This window comes from Homo sapiens, chromosome 3, assembly GCF_000001405.40.
Source record: "Homo sapiens chromosome 3, GRCh38.p14 Primary Assembly".
In the NCBI taxonomy this organism is placed as follows: domain Eukaryota; kingdom Metazoa; phylum Chordata; class Mammalia; order Primates; family Hominidae; genus Homo; species Homo sapiens.
The window spans coordinates 62,589,204-62,607,237 of NC_000003.12; the positions used below are offsets into that span (position 1 = coordinate 62,589,204).

The 18,034-nt window shown below is 41.6% G+C and overlaps 1 protein-coding gene across 51 annotated transcripts in view, besides 2 other annotated features; it reads right to left on the minus strand.

Annotated features, from left to right (window-relative positions):
* Window positions 1–18,034, minus strand: part of CADPS (calcium dependent secretion activator) — a 477,069-nt gene that overhangs the window by 190,856 nt on the left and 268,179 nt on the right. For all 51 annotated transcript variants that reach the window (NM_183393.3, NM_001438352.1, XM_011534199.3 and 48 more), the window contains exon 7: window positions 3,434–3,545. In NM_183393.3, coding sequence (NP_899630.1) covers window positions 3,434–3,545 — 112 coding nt within the window. The remainder of the gene's footprint in view (window positions 1–3,433; window positions 3,546–18,034) is intronic.
* Window positions 3,293–3,392: an enhancer, noted in NCBI's record as "active region_20029". NCBI's record gives its function as "activates an Ori minimal core promoter by ATAC-STARR-seq in GM12878 lymphoblastoid cells {active_cell/tissue: GM12878}" and the evidence as "EXISTENCE:reporter gene assay evidence [ECO:0000049][PMID:35858748]".
* Window positions 3,403–3,532: an enhancer, noted in NCBI's record as "active region_20030". NCBI's record gives its function as "activates an Ori minimal core promoter by ATAC-STARR-seq in GM12878 lymphoblastoid cells {active_cell/tissue: GM12878}" and the evidence as "EXISTENCE:reporter gene assay evidence [ECO:0000049][PMID:35858748]".

The window sequence follows — 18,034 nt, forward strand, 5'->3', positions numbered from 1 at the left end:
ATAGAAACACTCTCTCGTGAGGTCCAAGTGTGGCTTCACTGCACTCTTAGGTCACCCAGCTGCTGCCCATGAAGATGCTGCCAGCAGAGGGTGTCCAGCCAGCACAAGAGCCAGGCAGGCCAGCTCCGCTGCAATTGGCAGAAAGTTTCTTTGGCACAAAGGAGGGGTAAACTAGCATCTGGGGGAATGTATGAGGGGCCTGAAGAAGAGAATGAACCATTATGAAATGAGTGTGTGTGGGGCTGTGGCAAGCCCATGGTCTTCACCACCACAGCACAGCCCAGGGTTTTATTTTTGTGTAGGGACAACACAGTGTAGTGCAAATAGCCCTGGAGATGAGGCAACATGATTCCTGAAGTAACTGAACCCTCTGGGCGTCAGCATGCTCTTCTGTACAAGAGAGGTGATGACTGTGGCTGCCTCAGTAGGGTTGTCTTGAGAGAGCACTGAGGGGCTGTGCACAAAGTCTTTGGGACAGTGGCCTGGCCCATGCATGGGTCCCTGACTGGCTTGATCGCTCTGGAGAGGTCTCCCGCTTTCCATGGGAGCAAGTTTTCTCATCTATAAAACAAAGGATTTCAATATGTCAGTGGCCTTAACTTTTCTGAGTAGAAATGGCTTTGAGAAGTCAGTGAATGCTTTGGTAGCCAGTCCAGAAAAATGCATATAGGCCCAGGCACAAACACATCTGTAAACTATTTCCAGGCTGGGTGCAGTAGCTCATGCCTCTAATCCTAGCACTTTGGGAGGCCGAGGCGGGCGGATCACTTCAGGTTAGCAGTTCAGACCAGCCTGACCAACATGGTAAAACCCTGTCTCTACTAAAAATACAAAAATTAGCCAGATGTGGTGGTAGGCACCTGTAATACCAGCTACTTGGGAGGCTGAGGCATGAGAATCACATGAACCTGGGAGGTGGAGGTTGCAGCAAGCCGAGATCACGCCACTGTACTCCAGCTTGGGCAACAGAGAGAGACTCCAGCTAAAGAAAAAAAAAAAAAAATTCCAGGGCATCCTGGATCCTGGGTCTTCGGAGGCTCATTGTGGACCCAGGTTGAGCATCCTGCGCTGGTCAGTTACACTTGTTCCTTCTAACACTAATATTCAGGATCTCTGAGACTCGTGATTCTTAACATCTGCCTTACTGGAAAAGGAGAAATTTGAAGAAAAATGAAAGGCAGGATAATTCTTCCACTCTATGTGTGTCTCTCTTTCCCTAGGGACAGAAATGAGTATCGTTTCTCAAAGAAAACAGCTAAACCTTTTATTTTCTTTCATCATCCCCTTTCCTCCCACTTTTCTGGGTAGGGACACTGTTTTTTTGTTTTTGCTGTTAGCTTTATTTACTTTTCGTTTTATCTCCATCTGTAGTCTATGCTGCAGTAATATGACTCCAGGTTGATTCTATAGATGAAAGCCAGATTGGAAAAATGGGTGAAAGAAAGGAAGAAAAAAAGGAAGCACAGGAGATGAATTCTTGCTGGCATCGTTAGGTGTGTGTGCCTGTGTGCTTGTCTGGGGTGGTCTCTCATTATGCTATAGATGTTATATCAGAGGCTCAGAGAGATTCTCTGGGCTGAGATCACGTAGCTTTCAGGAGTGATTACACATTAAACCAGAATGAAATAAAATTTATATTTATTTATTTATTTTATTATTATTATTTTTGAGATGGAGTTTCACTCCTGTTGCCCAGGCTAGAGTGCAATGGAGCGATCTTGGCTCATTGCAACTTCTGCCTCCCGGGTTCAAGTGATTCTCCTGCCTCAGCCTCCTGAGTAGCTAGGATTACAGGTGCCTGCCACCACGCCCGGCTAATTTTTTTGGTATTTTTAGTAGAGATGGGGTTTCACCATGTTGGCCAGGCTGGTCTCGAACTCCTGACCTCAGGCGATCCACCCGCCTCGGCCTCCTAATGTGCTGGGGTTACAGGCGTGAGCCACCGCGCCTGGCTGAAATAAAATTTATTGAAAGTCTATGTGCTGGGCTCTGGGTATAAGGTAGTGAACAAAATAGTTTAGGTTTCTGTCTCCGTGGAGATTTTACAGTCCAGTGGGGCAGACAGAAGCCTGAATGTCTGTCAATTCTGTTTCTTTCTCTCATTGGTGATCACTTTAGTAGTATATGTGAACAAGGAGCTAAGATAGCAAATGAAGGGGACTGAGCTGTCAGGAAAGGACTCTCCAAGGAGGTGGCATTTATGCAGAGAATGCATTTATGCTTTTTGAAGGGTTGGGAGGTGGGGAAATGACAACAGATAGAAAGTCCCCTGAGGAGGGAGAGAATTTGGTTTATATGAGGGATTGAAATTTGGCCAATGATGCTGGGGTATAGTAGGCGGGGAGGAATGTGGCAGCAGATGGGGGTGAAGAGGTGAGCAGAAGCCAAATTAAACGAGTTCAGATTTTACCACAAGCAGGTGGGGTTATTGGCAAAATCAACTTGTGAAAATATTACTGGCTTCTTGGTGCAGAGTCAATGGTTCAGATGCAAACAGAAATTTCACTATTATCTCTGTGGTTTTTAAGGGGGTTGGTACCACCTCTCAGGGATGTCTCAGAAATTTTCATGATGTTTTGATTGACAAAATAATTGGTGCCAGTCCCTGTTGGCACTGAGTGGGTGGGTCCAGGGATGCTAAACATCCTGCAAGGAATGACATGATGCTCCTTAGTGAGGCATCTTCCTGCATCCCATCTGACTTTTGAATATTCCCATGGGATATTGGTGGAGGTGAAAAAATCTGTTTATAATGAACTACGTGGAGATCTTAACTCTTGTCTTACATTTCAAATCAAAGTCTTTTTGGCACATTTCTAAGGAAATCAAGGAAACTTTACAAGTATTGCTTAATATGTCAGTAAATCGGTTTACTGATCCTCAGGCTTAGGAGTCACCACTACAGCATACATCCACACCCCACAGTGGATTTTGTAGCTGTCACCTTCACAGTGACTCTTCATATGGGAGCAAGCAAAGCACTCCTCTATTAGATCTTTGAGTATGTACATTTTGAAGTTTTTTATTATTAATTTACTTCCTTTTGTTTCTCTCTTATGTCATTGTGTTGACTTTAACATTGTCAGGTGGGCAGGCAGTTAAATCATCTAAGAACTCCACTTTAAGACAGTAAAAGACATTACAAATCTTAACTCTAAAGGATGTTTGGGTCTGATAGTATTGAGAACTCCTGCTCTATCTCCTGTAGGGCACACTCTTGTTAGTCCAGCTTTGTAGAAGAGAATCTGAGGCTCAGAGAGGTTGAGGAACTTGCTTAAGGTCACCCAGCCAATGTAGAGTGGAGTCCAGGACTTAATGTTCAAAACTGAGCCTCTCAGCACTTGGCAATGCTGCCTCTTGGTGACCTGTGCACTGGAGACCTAGCTGGGGAAATCCTCTCTGTGGAGTTCCCCTTGTGATAAGAAGTGCTTACCCGCCCAAGCTCCTTGTCCTCCAACGCCAGGACGCCTGTGCTCTCTGTGAACAGCTTCACCTTCACAGCTGGCAGTGCATGGGTTGTGGAGAAGTCACCCTGGGTGCCCCAGCTGCAGACAGAATCAAAGAGGTCATTGTAGACATATCTGCCTTGATGAGTCTAAACTATTCCATTGTTCCCAGGTCAGGTGAATGCAGGGTTAACCCAAGGCAGCATTAGCTGTCACATCCTCTTCTCCTCCCCTTCAAAGCTGCCAGAGTAACAAACGTGTTAATTAACTTGTTAGGCAAATGAAAGACAGATGCTCAGAAAGTTGCCATGGTCTTCACAGAGCACTATAAGGAATGACTTGAAATTAGCATAAACTCATGTTGGTGAGAACTTGTTCCCATGCATTTGCTGTATCTACAAACGATTCCAGGGAAATCACTAATATTTCATTGCATCCTTTGACTTCCTCATTCATGGAAACTGCAGTTGTACATCTTGGGATGGGGCTTCATTTGGTTCAAGCCAACACCTGACTTTCAAATGAGACTTCAACAATAGTGGTGGGGAGGTGGGGAGCCCCATTTTCACTGGCATTCAAAGATGAGTTGAATAAGGAGATTATGGAGCTCCACCCTGTTAAGGTCAAAGAGAGATTGGAAGGGAGAAGGATGAGGATGTGGGAAATGCCATTCCCTGCTCATAGTTTGTGGATATCGGAGTCTCAGTTTTCCACACACGGGAGCCTGGCTTACCCAAAATCTGGGTAGAGCACCAGGTGCGGCTCACATGAGCCCTTGATGTGCCCTTCAAATGCAGCCTCTTCATTCACTCATTATTATTCTTACAGAGAATTCATCTCTATCCATTCTGTGCCTGCAAGCAGAGTGATCTTCCAGAAGTGTTAACTGGATTGCACTGAGCCCCAGGTCCAGGGCACCTGTTCCATTGCACTCAGGGGGCAATCTGGACCCCTACCTATGGACTGCCACTCATCTGCTCCAATCTCACAAGCCTCCTGACTCTGCCATCTCAGACCTGTTACATGTATGTTTCCTCTGTTGGCAATGTTTCTCCCCACCCATTCACTGGGCTATGTCTTTTGGGGCTCAGCTTAAAACCACTGTCCTTTGATCTCCCAATCTAAACTGGGTTCTGGTATTAACCTCTCTTTAGCATACTATTTAATTTTGCATCTTAGCAATCACTGGATTTAAGTTATTGATTTGTGTCATTGTTTTATAGCAGAATCCCCTAATATTCTGTAAGCTCCATGAGCACAGGGACTGTGTTTTTATGTTGCATACCCAGAACTTAGCACAGTGCTAGACATATAGAAGGAACTTAACAAATATTTGTTGAATAAATGAAAGATGCCAAATATAATGTCTTTTACAGCACTAGAAAACAGCATAGATACAATTTCATTTAGAGAACTTTTTCATTTTACTTTATACAATGACCAACTTCCATACTTTAAAATGCTCATTATGATTTTTTTTATTTTTTTTATTTATTTTTTTTATTTTTTTTATTTATTTATTTATTTTTTGAGACAGAGTCTCGCTCTGTCGCCCAGGCTGGAGTGCAGTGGCGGGATCTCGGCTCACTGCAAGCTCCGCCTCCCGGGTTCACGCCATTCTCCTGCCTCAGCCTCCCAAGTAGCTGGGACTACAGGCGCCCGCCACTATGCCCGGCTAATTTTTTGTATTTTTAGTAGAGACGCGGTTTCACCGTTTTAGCCGGGATGGTCTCGATCTCCTGACCTCGTGATCCGCCCGCCTCGGCCTCCCAAAGTGCTGGGATTACAGGCGTGAGCCACCGCGCCCGGCCCTCATTATGATTTTTAATGATTCTATAATATTACACTTTCTATATGTACCATAATTTATTTAGCCATTGTTCTATTATTGAAATAGAATTGAACATTAATTTTGTTTTGTTTTGTTTTTTGAGGTGGGGGTCTGACTCTGTTGTCCAAGCTGGTCTCAAACTCCCGGGCTCAAGCAATCCTTCCACCTCAGTCTCCTGAGTAGCTAGGAGTTAGATATTAATTTTTGATTTCATCTCTGATTGTTTCCTTGGGATAGAGACCTAGCTGGGAGATCACTTCTTCCATCAACAAAAATTTAGAGATCTTACACTGTTGCAGGAGCTGTGTTCCTCAATGCACACTTTCAAGGCTTGAGATGCCTATTCCCAAAATGCTTTCCACAAAGGCAGTGACTATCCTGCCACCATTTGGGAACGAGAGTTCAAATCACAGGGCTTCCTTCTTGCCTGTTCTGAGTATCACTATTCACTTTTTCTTCTGGCCTATTTTATCATTGTTGTTTTCATGGATATTTTCTTGACTACTAGTGGGCTTGAACATTTTACCCTGTTTGTTGGCTGCTTGCATTCTTCTTTTGTAAATTATGGAAACCTGCATCCTAGTCTCAGTGTTGCCTTCAATCAAATAAATCCTATTAACTCAAAGACACAGGGAATCTAGTGAGAGTTGACAAAAGAAGACCAGAAAAATTGAGATGAGGGGAAACCAGATCCATGGGGATCTCAGTGCATGAAACCACTGAGAAAGCACAACAGTCATAGTAGAGACAGAGAGGACATGGAGGAGGCCATGAGATAGGACAAAAAGTGACAGGTTTCAAACACATTAGCAAAACGTTTGAGGTACAGATAGAAGCTCCTAAGTGGTTGTCAGCAACTGCAGCAAGACCCCGAGATAGGGAAATCTTTGTCTTAGCAATGGCAAGGGTTTTGAACCAGATATCTTTAGTTCAAATTCTGGCTTAGTCACTTGCAAACTATGAAATTTGGGGCAAGGAATTAATGTCCCTGTCAATTTCCTCAGCTATAAAATAAGCTAATTTCACAGACTAGTTGTAAAGAACAAACAGCTGCAAGTTTGGAACAGGTTGAGAACCCAACAAATTTTGGCTACTTTCCCTTCCCAAGGTAAGGAGATGTATTCTAGTAATAGTGATTATTGCTTATCTATTTATATTTATTTATTTAATGATTAGATGACATGTAATAATTGTACATATTTATAGCTATGATGGTTAATACTGAGTGTCAACTTGATTGGATTGAAGGATACAAAGTACTAATCCTGGGTGTGTTTGTGTGGGTGTTGCCAAAAGAGATTAACATTTGAGTCAGTGGGCTGGCAAAGGCAGATCCACCCTTAATCTGGTGGACACAATCTAAGCAGCTTCCAGCGAATATAAAGCAGGCAGAAAAACGTGAAGAGGAGAGACTGGCTTAGCCTTCCAGCAGCCTATATCTTTCTCCCATGCTGGATGCTTCTTGCCCTCAAACATTGGACTCCAAGTTCTTTAGTTTTGGGACTCAGACTGGCTCTTCTTGCTCCTCAGCTTGCAGACAGCCTATTGTGGGACCTTGTGATGGTGTAAGTTAATACTTAATTAACTCCCGTTTTTATATATATGTATACACACACACACACACACACACACACACACACACACACACACACACACACACACATATCCTATTAGTTTTGTCCCTCTGGAGAACCCTAATACAATGGGGTACAGAGTGCTATTTTTTTTTTTTTTTGACAGAGTGTCGTTCTGTTGCCCAGGCTGGAGTGCAGTGGCATGATCTTGGCTCACTGCAACCTCTGCCTCCCGGGTACAAGTGATTCTCCTGCCTCAGCCTCCCAAGTAGCTGGGATTACAGGTGCCCGCCACCGTGCCCAGCTAATTTTTTTGTATTTTTAGTAGAGACGGGGTTTCACCATGTTAGCCAGGCTGGTTGCGAACTCCTGACCTCAAGTGATCCACCCACCTTGGCCTCCCAAAGTGCTAGGATTACAGGCATGAGCCACCACACCTGGCCCAGAGTGCTATTTTGCTACATGTATACAATGTGTAATAATCAAGTCAGAGTAATTAGCATATCCATCACCTCAAATATTTATCATTTTTTGTATGTGTTGGAAACATTCAAAATCCTCTCTAGCTATTTGAAAATATGCTATTAATTATTGTTAACTATATTCACCCTGTAGTACTAGAGAACACTAGAAATCAGTCCCCTTATCTTGCTGTACTTTTGTATCCTTTGTGGCTTCTACCCAACACATATTTATCAAGCACTTACTAAGTAACTGACCCTGTGTAAAGGAAGCAAGATTGACACTGCCCTTTCTACTACACAGATGAATGGTAAAATAGCTATTATCATTGCCATTTCACAGATGAGAAAACTGAAGAGACACTCAAAGATCTTGCCTATTTTATTCCAGGGAATTATGACCAAGCTGGACCAGAACCCAAAATCTCATTTTAAAGCTGTTGCTGTTATTATTGTAAAAATTATCAGTAATAAGCATTATTAGTGATTAGCAACACTGGAAAAAATGTGACCATTAATTTACTTATGATTAATTGTACTATTAATCTCTTTGCATGGCTGGGTGTGGTGCCTCACTCCTGTAATCCTAGTGCTTTTGGAGGCCAGGAATTTGAGAGTAGCCTGGGCAACATAGAAAGACCCAGGCTTTTTATTTTTTCTACAAAAAACAAAGTAAAATAATTAGCTGCATATGGTGGTGCATGCCTGAAGTCCTAGCTACTTGGGAGGCCAAGGCCTAAAGATCACTTTGAGCCCAGGACTTTGAGGTTACTGTGAGCTATGATCACGCCACTGTACTCCAGCTTGGGTGACAGAGCGAGACCTTGTCTCTAAAAGAAAATAAATAAAAATAAAATAAAAGATACCTCTTTGGGCATTCATTATACTTGGTCATGGGGAAGAGAAAGATTTCTGCTGGAAACCAAAAGAGTTCTGAAATGAGAAGCTTTAACACTAAGCCACAAAGAGAACTTGAGCCCAGTGTCCTGGAGATACCCCACTGTATGTTTCCATGCTACTGTCCTCAGTGTGGATGGATTTCTTGGCATGTTCAGTGGGTACCAACCCAGGATGCCTGAACCCCTGCTGCTACCCAAAGATGCTCAGCTCATAAGGCGTGTAACAAGAGTCTGACTGTGGGGCAGTCAGTGCTTCCGAGAACCCATCAGCTGGACGGAATTCAGGCCGCTGGAGGCTGCCCTGACAACCCCCATCCTATTGGACACAGAGTTTCTTTTCCCTTCCACCAGGCCTGCAGCTGTGCTTCCCACCATGACCCTTGGCTCACCTCAAGCTGTCAGGTCACTAATGAATCCCAGTTTAACTATTTAACTATCAGATTTCAAAATGGTAACCTGGTCCAGTGAAGCAGGCCAAAAGAGAAGTTCTCTCATCTAATCAGGACTGGCTGTGCAATTTTCAGGGCCCAGTGCAAATAAAAAATGCAGATCTCCTTGTTAAAAAAACAGCAAACTCCAAAACTCCAAAACAAAACACACACAAAAAGTGCCATTCAAGGTACTAAAATATAAAGCATTTTCATTTTCTTGAGTATTTCCTCTCCTCAAATCCACAGTCCATCGTTCCATGGGATGTCACAAACACAAGCTCGAAGATAAAATTATTAAGAATTTCGAGATGGCAACAAAAGAGCATTAAATCAAATGGGGGCCCCTTCTGAATGTAGAAGATGTGCAGCTATACAGGTCACATGCCCCTCAAGCTGGCTCTGATCCAATGTCACCCCAGTCTGGTTAGCCTGGACTGAGAAGTGGATGTTGGCTGACACTGGCTGTTGACATGAAACTTTTGGTCTTAGCCACAGTCATTGGATTCTGTGGGAATTCTGGCCTTTTTTTGTCAATGCTTCCTACTCTTAGTAGAATCAAGAAGGTTTAAATATTTGCACCCTTCCTTATCTTCCTTTCCTCTGTAGGAAAAAATGTCATGAAAAATATTCATTCTTTGTCCTTTTGTAGCCACGGAGAGATCTGGCTATATTTGTAATAGAAATAGCTAATAGTTATTCAGATTACTATGTGCTAGGCACAAATTCCTATCTCAAAAGTGGGACACAGCCATACATGCATTTGATCATTTGAAAGCCTCTTGGACATCCTGTGAAATGCCTACAATTATCACCTCCAGAGTTATAAATGAGTCACAGAGAGGCTGGGTAATATGTTCAGGGTCACACACAAGGAGTAAATGGCAGTTAGTGACCTCAGAATTCAAACTCCTAATCAGGCCACCATGTTGCCTCCCTTGCTCATTCCATCATTCACTGCTTTATGTCTTGATTAAATCAACATGAGTTACCTCTGTAACTGAAAAGGGAAGTTCTGTTTCAAGACTGGTGGGACGTTGGGCCACTCTGGCTTTTTACTTTGAATTTATTTCACGTGTTCAATATACTTCACAGAGCACTATATCCCAGACAGACAAATTAGCCAGTGGAGGAAGCATCAAAAACCTTGGCCTTTTGGTGGGGCCACACACCCAAAAATGAATCTATTTTGTTCTCTGCTCATTTCTTTGCCCTTGCTGTGCAACTGATTGTGGCTATTAAGATGAATACCTCTTTAAAGTGTCCCAGAACTGAAATACAATTGCATTTTGATTTGAAAAGACCAGAGGTGGATAATATTTATTGCAAGCAGAAGTTGGAAAGGTTAACTGACTAACTTCTCTCTGAAGATGAAGTAGATAATGTAAAATGGGTTAGGTGTCCCTATTCTGTGATCCCATCCTTTCCTCCACTGTACTCACACTGTATGACTAGCTTACATAAACGTTAAAAATAGCCACCAATTATTGAGTACTTATGATTTGCCAGGCCCTGGGCTTAGTGCTTCTAATGAATTATCTCAATTAATATTTCTGACAAATCACAGAATTGGGCTTCAAACTCAGAGTTTCTGACCTCAAAGCCCATGCATTAAATGAGAGTGCTTTACTGTGGTTTCTTTTATTATATATATATTTTATATATATTATATATATATTACATATATATTATATATATTATATATAATATAAATTATATAATTATATAAATTATACAAATTATATAAATATATTATATATTTATTATATTATATATAATATATAATATAATAAATATAATATATAATATATAATATAATATATATTATATATACAATATTATATAATATTATAATATATATATTATATAATATATAATATATATAGTATATATAATATATATAATCTATTATATATATTGTATATATAATATATATATTATATATAATATATATAATATATAATAAATAATATATTATATATTATATATATAATATATTATATATATATAATATATATAATATATAATAATATATAATATATATATATTATATATACCATATTATATATAATATACAATATATTATATATATAATATATATAATGTACGATATATAATGATATACATGGCACCCAACACAGGGCCTGGAACACAGTAAATATTTGCTTAGTAACTAGGAAAGCAACAAATTCAGAATAACCATGTCACTAAATTCAGGGGATTGTAGAGAGGTGAGACACATGAAATAACCAAAGGTGTGACTGCCCCTTTCAACTGAGGGCTTTTATCTCTTTGAGGAGTTGATTTCTTTCTTTTTTTTTTTTTTGAGCAGACAAACTCTCTGAAGTGCACACAGCAGCTGGCAGCATGCAGAGGATACTCAGCATGCAACAGCTCTCTTGGGAGCAAGGCGTCAATCCATGAAGGCTGAGGAATGGCTCTCCAAGGGCTGGCAGCAATGTGGCTGCCAACGGTATAGTGATGGAAAGTGCCACCAAGCTATATAATAAGCTGCTATTATTACTTTTGGTCTTTTCAGCCACAAGCACATAAGCAGAGACTGTAGAAATGCCATCACCCATAGAGGCACCTCCAAAGATGAAGGAATGTGTATTGGGACATGTGTGTCTATTCCAAACCAAATACTTCCTGTAAGAGGGTGGCAAATAAATAGATGAACAGTGTAACTGACTAATCTAAAAGCGCCATATTGGCATCAGATGAGGCTCTAACTTTCACTGCTTAGGGATTCTATCTCCAAATAGTGCTCCATTTAGGAAACACTTCCTGAATGTCTACTGTGTGCAAATCACTATGATAGGCACTGCTATGGATCCAAAGGTGAGTGAGATGTAAGTTTTGCCCCCATGGATATTACATTATTTTGGGGGAGATGCCCCGTGCAGAAATAACACTTATAACGTGTGAGAGTGTCTCAGCTTTCACATCTATAAATTGGGGATAAGAATATTTAGTTTTATTATAAATATAGCCAGATGGGAATAGTGGTCTGCACCTGTAGTCCCAGCTACTCAGGAGGTTGAGGTGGGTGGATTGCTTGAGCTCAGGAGTATGAGGCCAGCCTGGGCAACATAGTGATACCCAGTCTCTTAAAAAAATAGAACTGACCCAGAGGATGGAGTCCTTGACGGAAGGATATGTAGGACATAAGCTATTGGATATGTGGTGTTTACCTCAATACGTGGCACATAGAAAGCACTAAAAAATGTAAGTCTTCATTTTAGGATTATAGACCAGGGGTTGTTAAACTATGGCCATGGGTATGGGTCTGCTTATGTATGGCTCATAAGCTAATAAGGGCTTTGTATTTTCAAATGGCTGAAAATAATCAAAGGAATATTTGCAACACATGAATATTATATGAAATTCAAATTTTGATGCCCATCAATAACGTTTTATTAGAACATAGTTAGCTTACTCATTTTTGTTTTGTCTATGGCTTCTTTTGTGCAGCAATGGCAGAATTGAGTAGTTATGACAGAGAATATAGGGCCAACAAACCGAAAATTTTTACTTTCTGGTCCTTTATAGAAAAAGTTTGCCGATCTCTGTTACAAACAGTTAAATTGCTGACTTGGCCTAATGGAAATACTTTTATTTTCATTAGCAGATTAGCAGAATGCTCATCTGGGCATACCCACAAAGACGAACTATAAACATGCACTCACAAAGACAGCTGACCCCATGGGGATCCAATTTGCTGCTCTAAATTCTTCATGGAGCTCTTTCTAGCACTCTTAGTTTATTAGAAAATTGGGGCTTGTGTATCATAGCATTTCAGACACGTGGTGCCCAAATGCTGCTTCCTGATCCACTTGAGCTGGCTGACTCATTTAGTCACACTACATCATTATTAATATCAAATAATAAACATGAGTAGCAGATGATTCATATTTAGGGGGATGGGGATGACTTTTAAAGTCACAGCACATTATTTCTCCAAACCTGTTCCACAGTACCACCACTTTGAAAGTGAACACTTTGATCTGGGGGAGAAAATGAGGGAGAAGAATATGCTTTTGGGAGAGTGGAGCTCAGAAAAATCTATGGGTAAAACAACCTTGTTCTCTGTGTTTGGGGAGCATCTGCTTGATCACAGTCGCATCTCTGTTTACTATTTAAAGCCTCTTATTTGCGGAAGCCTCCTCAGACCATATGTTATCAACAAATGTTGCTAATCAAATACACACAGTAATTTTCATTAGAATTTTTCCCCCCATGAACAAAAAACAACATTTGCCACATAGGGAATATACCTCCCAAAATGACAGTAAACATCCACTGCAAACCTTTGACAACAGAGTGATATTTACGAATGCATATGTGAGTAAGCCAAGAACACATCTACGTTAGGCAAATAAGGACCCTTGGAGAATTGGATTTTGTGCAGGTTGGTGCTGGGGTCGGGGGTGGGGGGATGTCATTAGTTGCCATGGTGATGCTCAGCATAAGGCCATAATTCATGTCTCGGAGACTGGATTTGCATTTATTCAAGGTATACGGCTCATGTGAACTGGGTGTTAAATTGGTGCGGTTCATAAAATTAACTGTGGGCTTTAACAAGAGAGAAGTGTCATTTCAAGGAATGAAAGTGCCGTGGTCCTGTTGCTAAGAAGGAAAGTTAATAATTGCCTGGAGACAGCTGCATTAAAATCTTGTGGCCTGCCTTTGAGGTGGACTGCATGATATTCCACTCCAAGGGAATCAATTGTGCCATCGCAGTGTGTCTCATGCAAACTAATTGATAGGCTGGGCTTTGGGTTCTTTAGTGTACTAGAAAAGCTAAGCTACCTCTCATCTACATAAGTGAGGCGTTTGCTTTGTAGAAATTGGGCTGTCTGGGAGGCAGAGATGAAGGCTTTGGTTTGCCTCCTTGACATTTCCACTGGAACGTCTCCTCTCCAGGAGTCTGAGATCAAATGTGTCCAAACCTCAGCTTGATCTCTTCTCCCTCACATCTGTTCCTCTAAGGCTTCCCCGGCTTAGTTAAAGGAACTGCCAGCCACCCAGACATCATTCTTATTTGCCTCTCTTTGCCACATGTCCGTCTTGTCACCGGATCTTTCAAATCCCCTACGTATATCACAAATCTGATTTTTGCTATGGAGAAAAAGAAAGCAGAAAATGGCATTTGGAAGTACCAGGAAGCAGGCGGGGGCAATATTTAAATAGGGTGGAACATGAAAACTTCACCACGAAGCAATTGTCACCTGTACGATGCACTCCTTTATCTGTTTTGTTGGCTGCTTTGTCTCTGGCCAGAATGTAAACTCACAGGACAGGGTTCTATGCCCCTGGCTTCTAGCACAGTGCAAAGCACATGAGCACACTCAATAGGCATTTGCTGAAAAAATGATTTCAAGAAACTCTGAGTTCCTCCACACACACAAATGTGTGGAGATGAAATTCAAGTTGAAAATGAAATTTAACAATGCTTGATTATCCATGGACATTATTTGGTATGGTTCAAGAGGAAGTGAGGAAAATTCCATGCTATAAACTTCATAAGGACAGAGACCAAGTCCATCTTACTTATTGTTATATTCCAGTTGTTTAGCTCAGTGCTCAGTACAGAGGAAACTTTCAATAAATGCCTATCGAATCAAGGCTGGAGGGAATAATGTATACCACACTTTATGCACATATAGAAGACCTGCATCTCAGTGCTTATTTTCTCACTAACTGTGTAACCTTGGCCAAGTCATTGGCAGAGTCTGTTTGCATACCTGTATAATGGGCTGATTTTTTTTCTGTCCTAAAACCAAGAGCCTGGTATTTGATTTTTAGCATTTCCTTTTGATTCTTTCTTAGAGCTTCCATCTCTTTGCTTATATTACCCACCTCTTCTTGCACTTTTTCCATTAGAACTCTAAGCATATTGATCATAGTTTTTATACATTCTTGGTCTGATAATTCCAACATCTCTGCCGTATCTGAATCTGGTTCTGATGCTTGCTATCTGTATGCTGTGTTTTTTTTTTGAGACAGAGTCTCGCTCTGTCACCCAGGCTGGAGTGCAGTGGCGTGATCTCGGCTCACTGCAAGCTCCACCTCCCGGGTTCATGCCATTCTCCTGCCTCAGCTTCCTGAGTATCTGGGACTACAGGCACTCACCACCACGCCCGGCTAATTTTTTTTTTTTATTTTTAGTGGAGACGGGGTTTCACTGTGTTAGCCAGGATGGTCTCGATCTCCTGACCTCGTGATCAGCCCGCCTCAGCCTCCCAAAGTGCTGGGATTACAGGTGTGAGCCACCTCACCCGGCCTGCTATACGTTTTTTCAAGTATGATTTCCAATTTTTATTGAAAGCAAATTTTTGTTGATGCACTGAGTAAAAGAAACCCTGCACTGACTTCAGTGGCCATTTCTGCTCTTGGGCTTCTGCTCCAGTAAGGTGTGATTCTCTGGATCTGCCTGCCTGTCTCTCCAATTTTGGGGGCAGTGGTTTGCCCTGTAACCTCATTTCTGATGGATCTAAGAAGAGATGCTGATTTTCAGTTTGTTCAGCGTTTTTCTTGTGGTGAGGACAGGAACAATGACTTCCAAGCTCTTCACATGCAGGACTGGGGACTGGAAGTCCGGCTGAGCCTGTATTATTTTGAAATCCTATTCAGCTGTGAAAGCTTAGATTGCATTATTCATTGAAGGTTGACTCATAAGAAAATACAGAGTTGGGCAACAGTAAAGTCTACATTTTCCAAGGTTGGAGCTAAGCAACAGGATGGCATAGTGAGGAACTGTCAAAGGCTAAATTAGAGAGATCACCTGATTTGAATGTCAGTGTTGCCTTCTCTGAAATGGAGCTCATGGGGCATCCCAAGGATCTCCCCCTTTGTTGTAAAAGGAGGTGAGATTTTTGTCCTTCGAAATGTTGGCTCTGTCTTCCCAGTCTAAGGCTCTTCTGCCCCATCTCCATCACCCAGCTGCCTTCTTCTAGACATCTGTTTATTCTTAGTTCCTGAGTATCTTTAGAGAAAATGAACTGCTCACCGCATGGCAGACATAAAAAGGAGCTCCTATGAAGTTATAGGGAAAGCATTCATTTATTCCCTCCTCTCAGCAATTCTGCTAACCAACTCCTATTTAATTTCCAACACTGGGTGTTTCCCTATAATTACTTTTGTAACCTGAGCTGTTTGTTATGGTTGCAACTGTGGTTCCCATAAATAACTGGGAGACTCTGGCTAATTGTGTCTTTGGAACTTGAATCTGCCTTAAGACACCTTACAGGCTCCAGAAGACTCAAAAGTTTACAAAACCTACACTACAGCCAGCTAGGCAAAAGCCACTGACAGGCTTGGGCCAGGGGAATTGTAAAATGCATTGCACACCCCTTTGCATTCCAACCAGCTTCTCTGAAAACAGGAGCCAAATGAGGGGAAAAACAAAAAAAAAAAAACTGGGAGAGACAGAACAACAGCCTCTGAGCTGAAGAAGTCCTGAAGACAACTTTGGCTATGCCCCTCATTTATAAATGAAGAAGCTGGTGCAGTGGGGAGGAATTTTGGAGTAAGACTCTTCTATATCTATCATCTAACAGCTTTATGATCTCAGACACATTTATTAGCCTCTCAGGTTTCAGTCTTCATGTCTGTAAAGTGGTCACATGAATAGCATCTACCTTATAGGGTTTCTAATCTGCCTTGCTCCCAATTAAGTGGGAGAATGTAAGTTCTTAATACAAAGCAGTCAGCGTTATCTGGGCAGCACAGGATTAAGAGTGCAGGCTCTGGAATCTGGCAGCCTAGCTTCTACATCCAGCTGTGCCACTTTCTACCTGAGTGATGCTGAACAGCTGACTCTCCTGCAGACTCTATTTTCTTACTTGTAAAATGGAGATGTCTATAGTGCTTTTCTCCTAGCTTTCTTTTGTGAGGTGAGGAAATACGTCCTAGCCTGATTCTCAATAAATCCTAAAAGTGTGGTGATAATTATTCAGTGACATCTCAAAGATGCACAAGTAATCCAAGTGCCAGTACTGGAATCAAACATCATGAAATGAGCTGACCTTGCAAATGTTTTCCAAACCATCTGAGCAATGGCTTTTGTGTTTTCTCAGTCTGAGAAACATAAAATCGGGGCTTGAATTTGGGTCTGATTTTTTTTTGGCAGCTATGGCAAAAGGACTTGTTCTCATTTTTCTGACTTCCTTCTCTGAGTGCCTGGAACACTTCCTCTCACTCCCAATCCTCTTATCTTCCTTCACTGGCCCTTCCTGACCCCAGGGGATAGATGAGATTATTGTTCAATGGGATTCACACTCTCCTGCCCTCTCTAAGAGAGGAGTCTTCCTCCTGCCCACTTGATGTTGGATTTGTTCATGCGATTACTCCTTTTGGCCTCTGCTATGGTTTGAATATTGTCCCTTCAAAAACACATTGTAAAATGTAATCTCCAATATGACAGTATTGAGGAGTGGGGCTTTTAAGAGGTGATTGGGTCATGAGGACTCTGCCCACATCAATAGATTAATCTATTTATGGATTAATGGGTTAACAGATTAATGGGTTATCAAAGAACTGAGACTTGTGGCTTTATAAAAAGAGGAAAAGAGACCTGACCTAGCATGCTCAGCCCTTTTGCCATGGGATGACTTGTGCCACCTTAGGACTCTGCAGAGAGTCCCCACCAGCAAAAGTCCCTCACCAGATTCAGCCCCTTGACCTTGGACTTCTCAGCCTCCATGACTGTAAGAAATAAATTCCTTTTCTTTATAAATTATCCAGTTTCAGGTATTCTGTAATAAACACCAGAAAATAGACCAAGACAGTCTCCTAGGCAGACTATACATCCTTGCAGCTTGACTTTAAAATTACCCATGTGACTTTCTTCGGCCAACGGGGCATTGGCAAATGTGATGCAAGCACAGGCTTAAAATGGTGCTTGAGTGGTTGAGCTTTTTCTCCTGTGTCTTTGTCACCAATGTGAGCAAAGCCTCCTCCAGGTAGCTGCTATCCTTTCAGCCTGGATCCCAGAATGAACTATGTGGAGTAGACCTAAGCCAAACCCACAGTGAGAATCGAAGGCCAGCCAGATCCAGAACTGAAAGCAGAGCCATTCAGCTGAGCCTGGCATGGATCAGCCAACCTTCAACTGATTTTCAGATGACAAATGAGAATAAATGACTATGGCTTTAAGCCACTGAGTTTCGGGGTGGTTTGTTACACAGCAACAGTGAACTGATACAACCTCTTTATCTGTTAATCACATCATCCTGTTTCTACTCTATGTTCTGTTGGTCTGTCTGCAGTCCTTAGTTAGAATATCACATTATGCAGTGCCCAGAGATATTTTATAGCCCTTGCATATTATATAAAGTCCATGGCAGTCACTCAATAAACACCTGCCTAATGACTTTAGTGACTTGAAAATG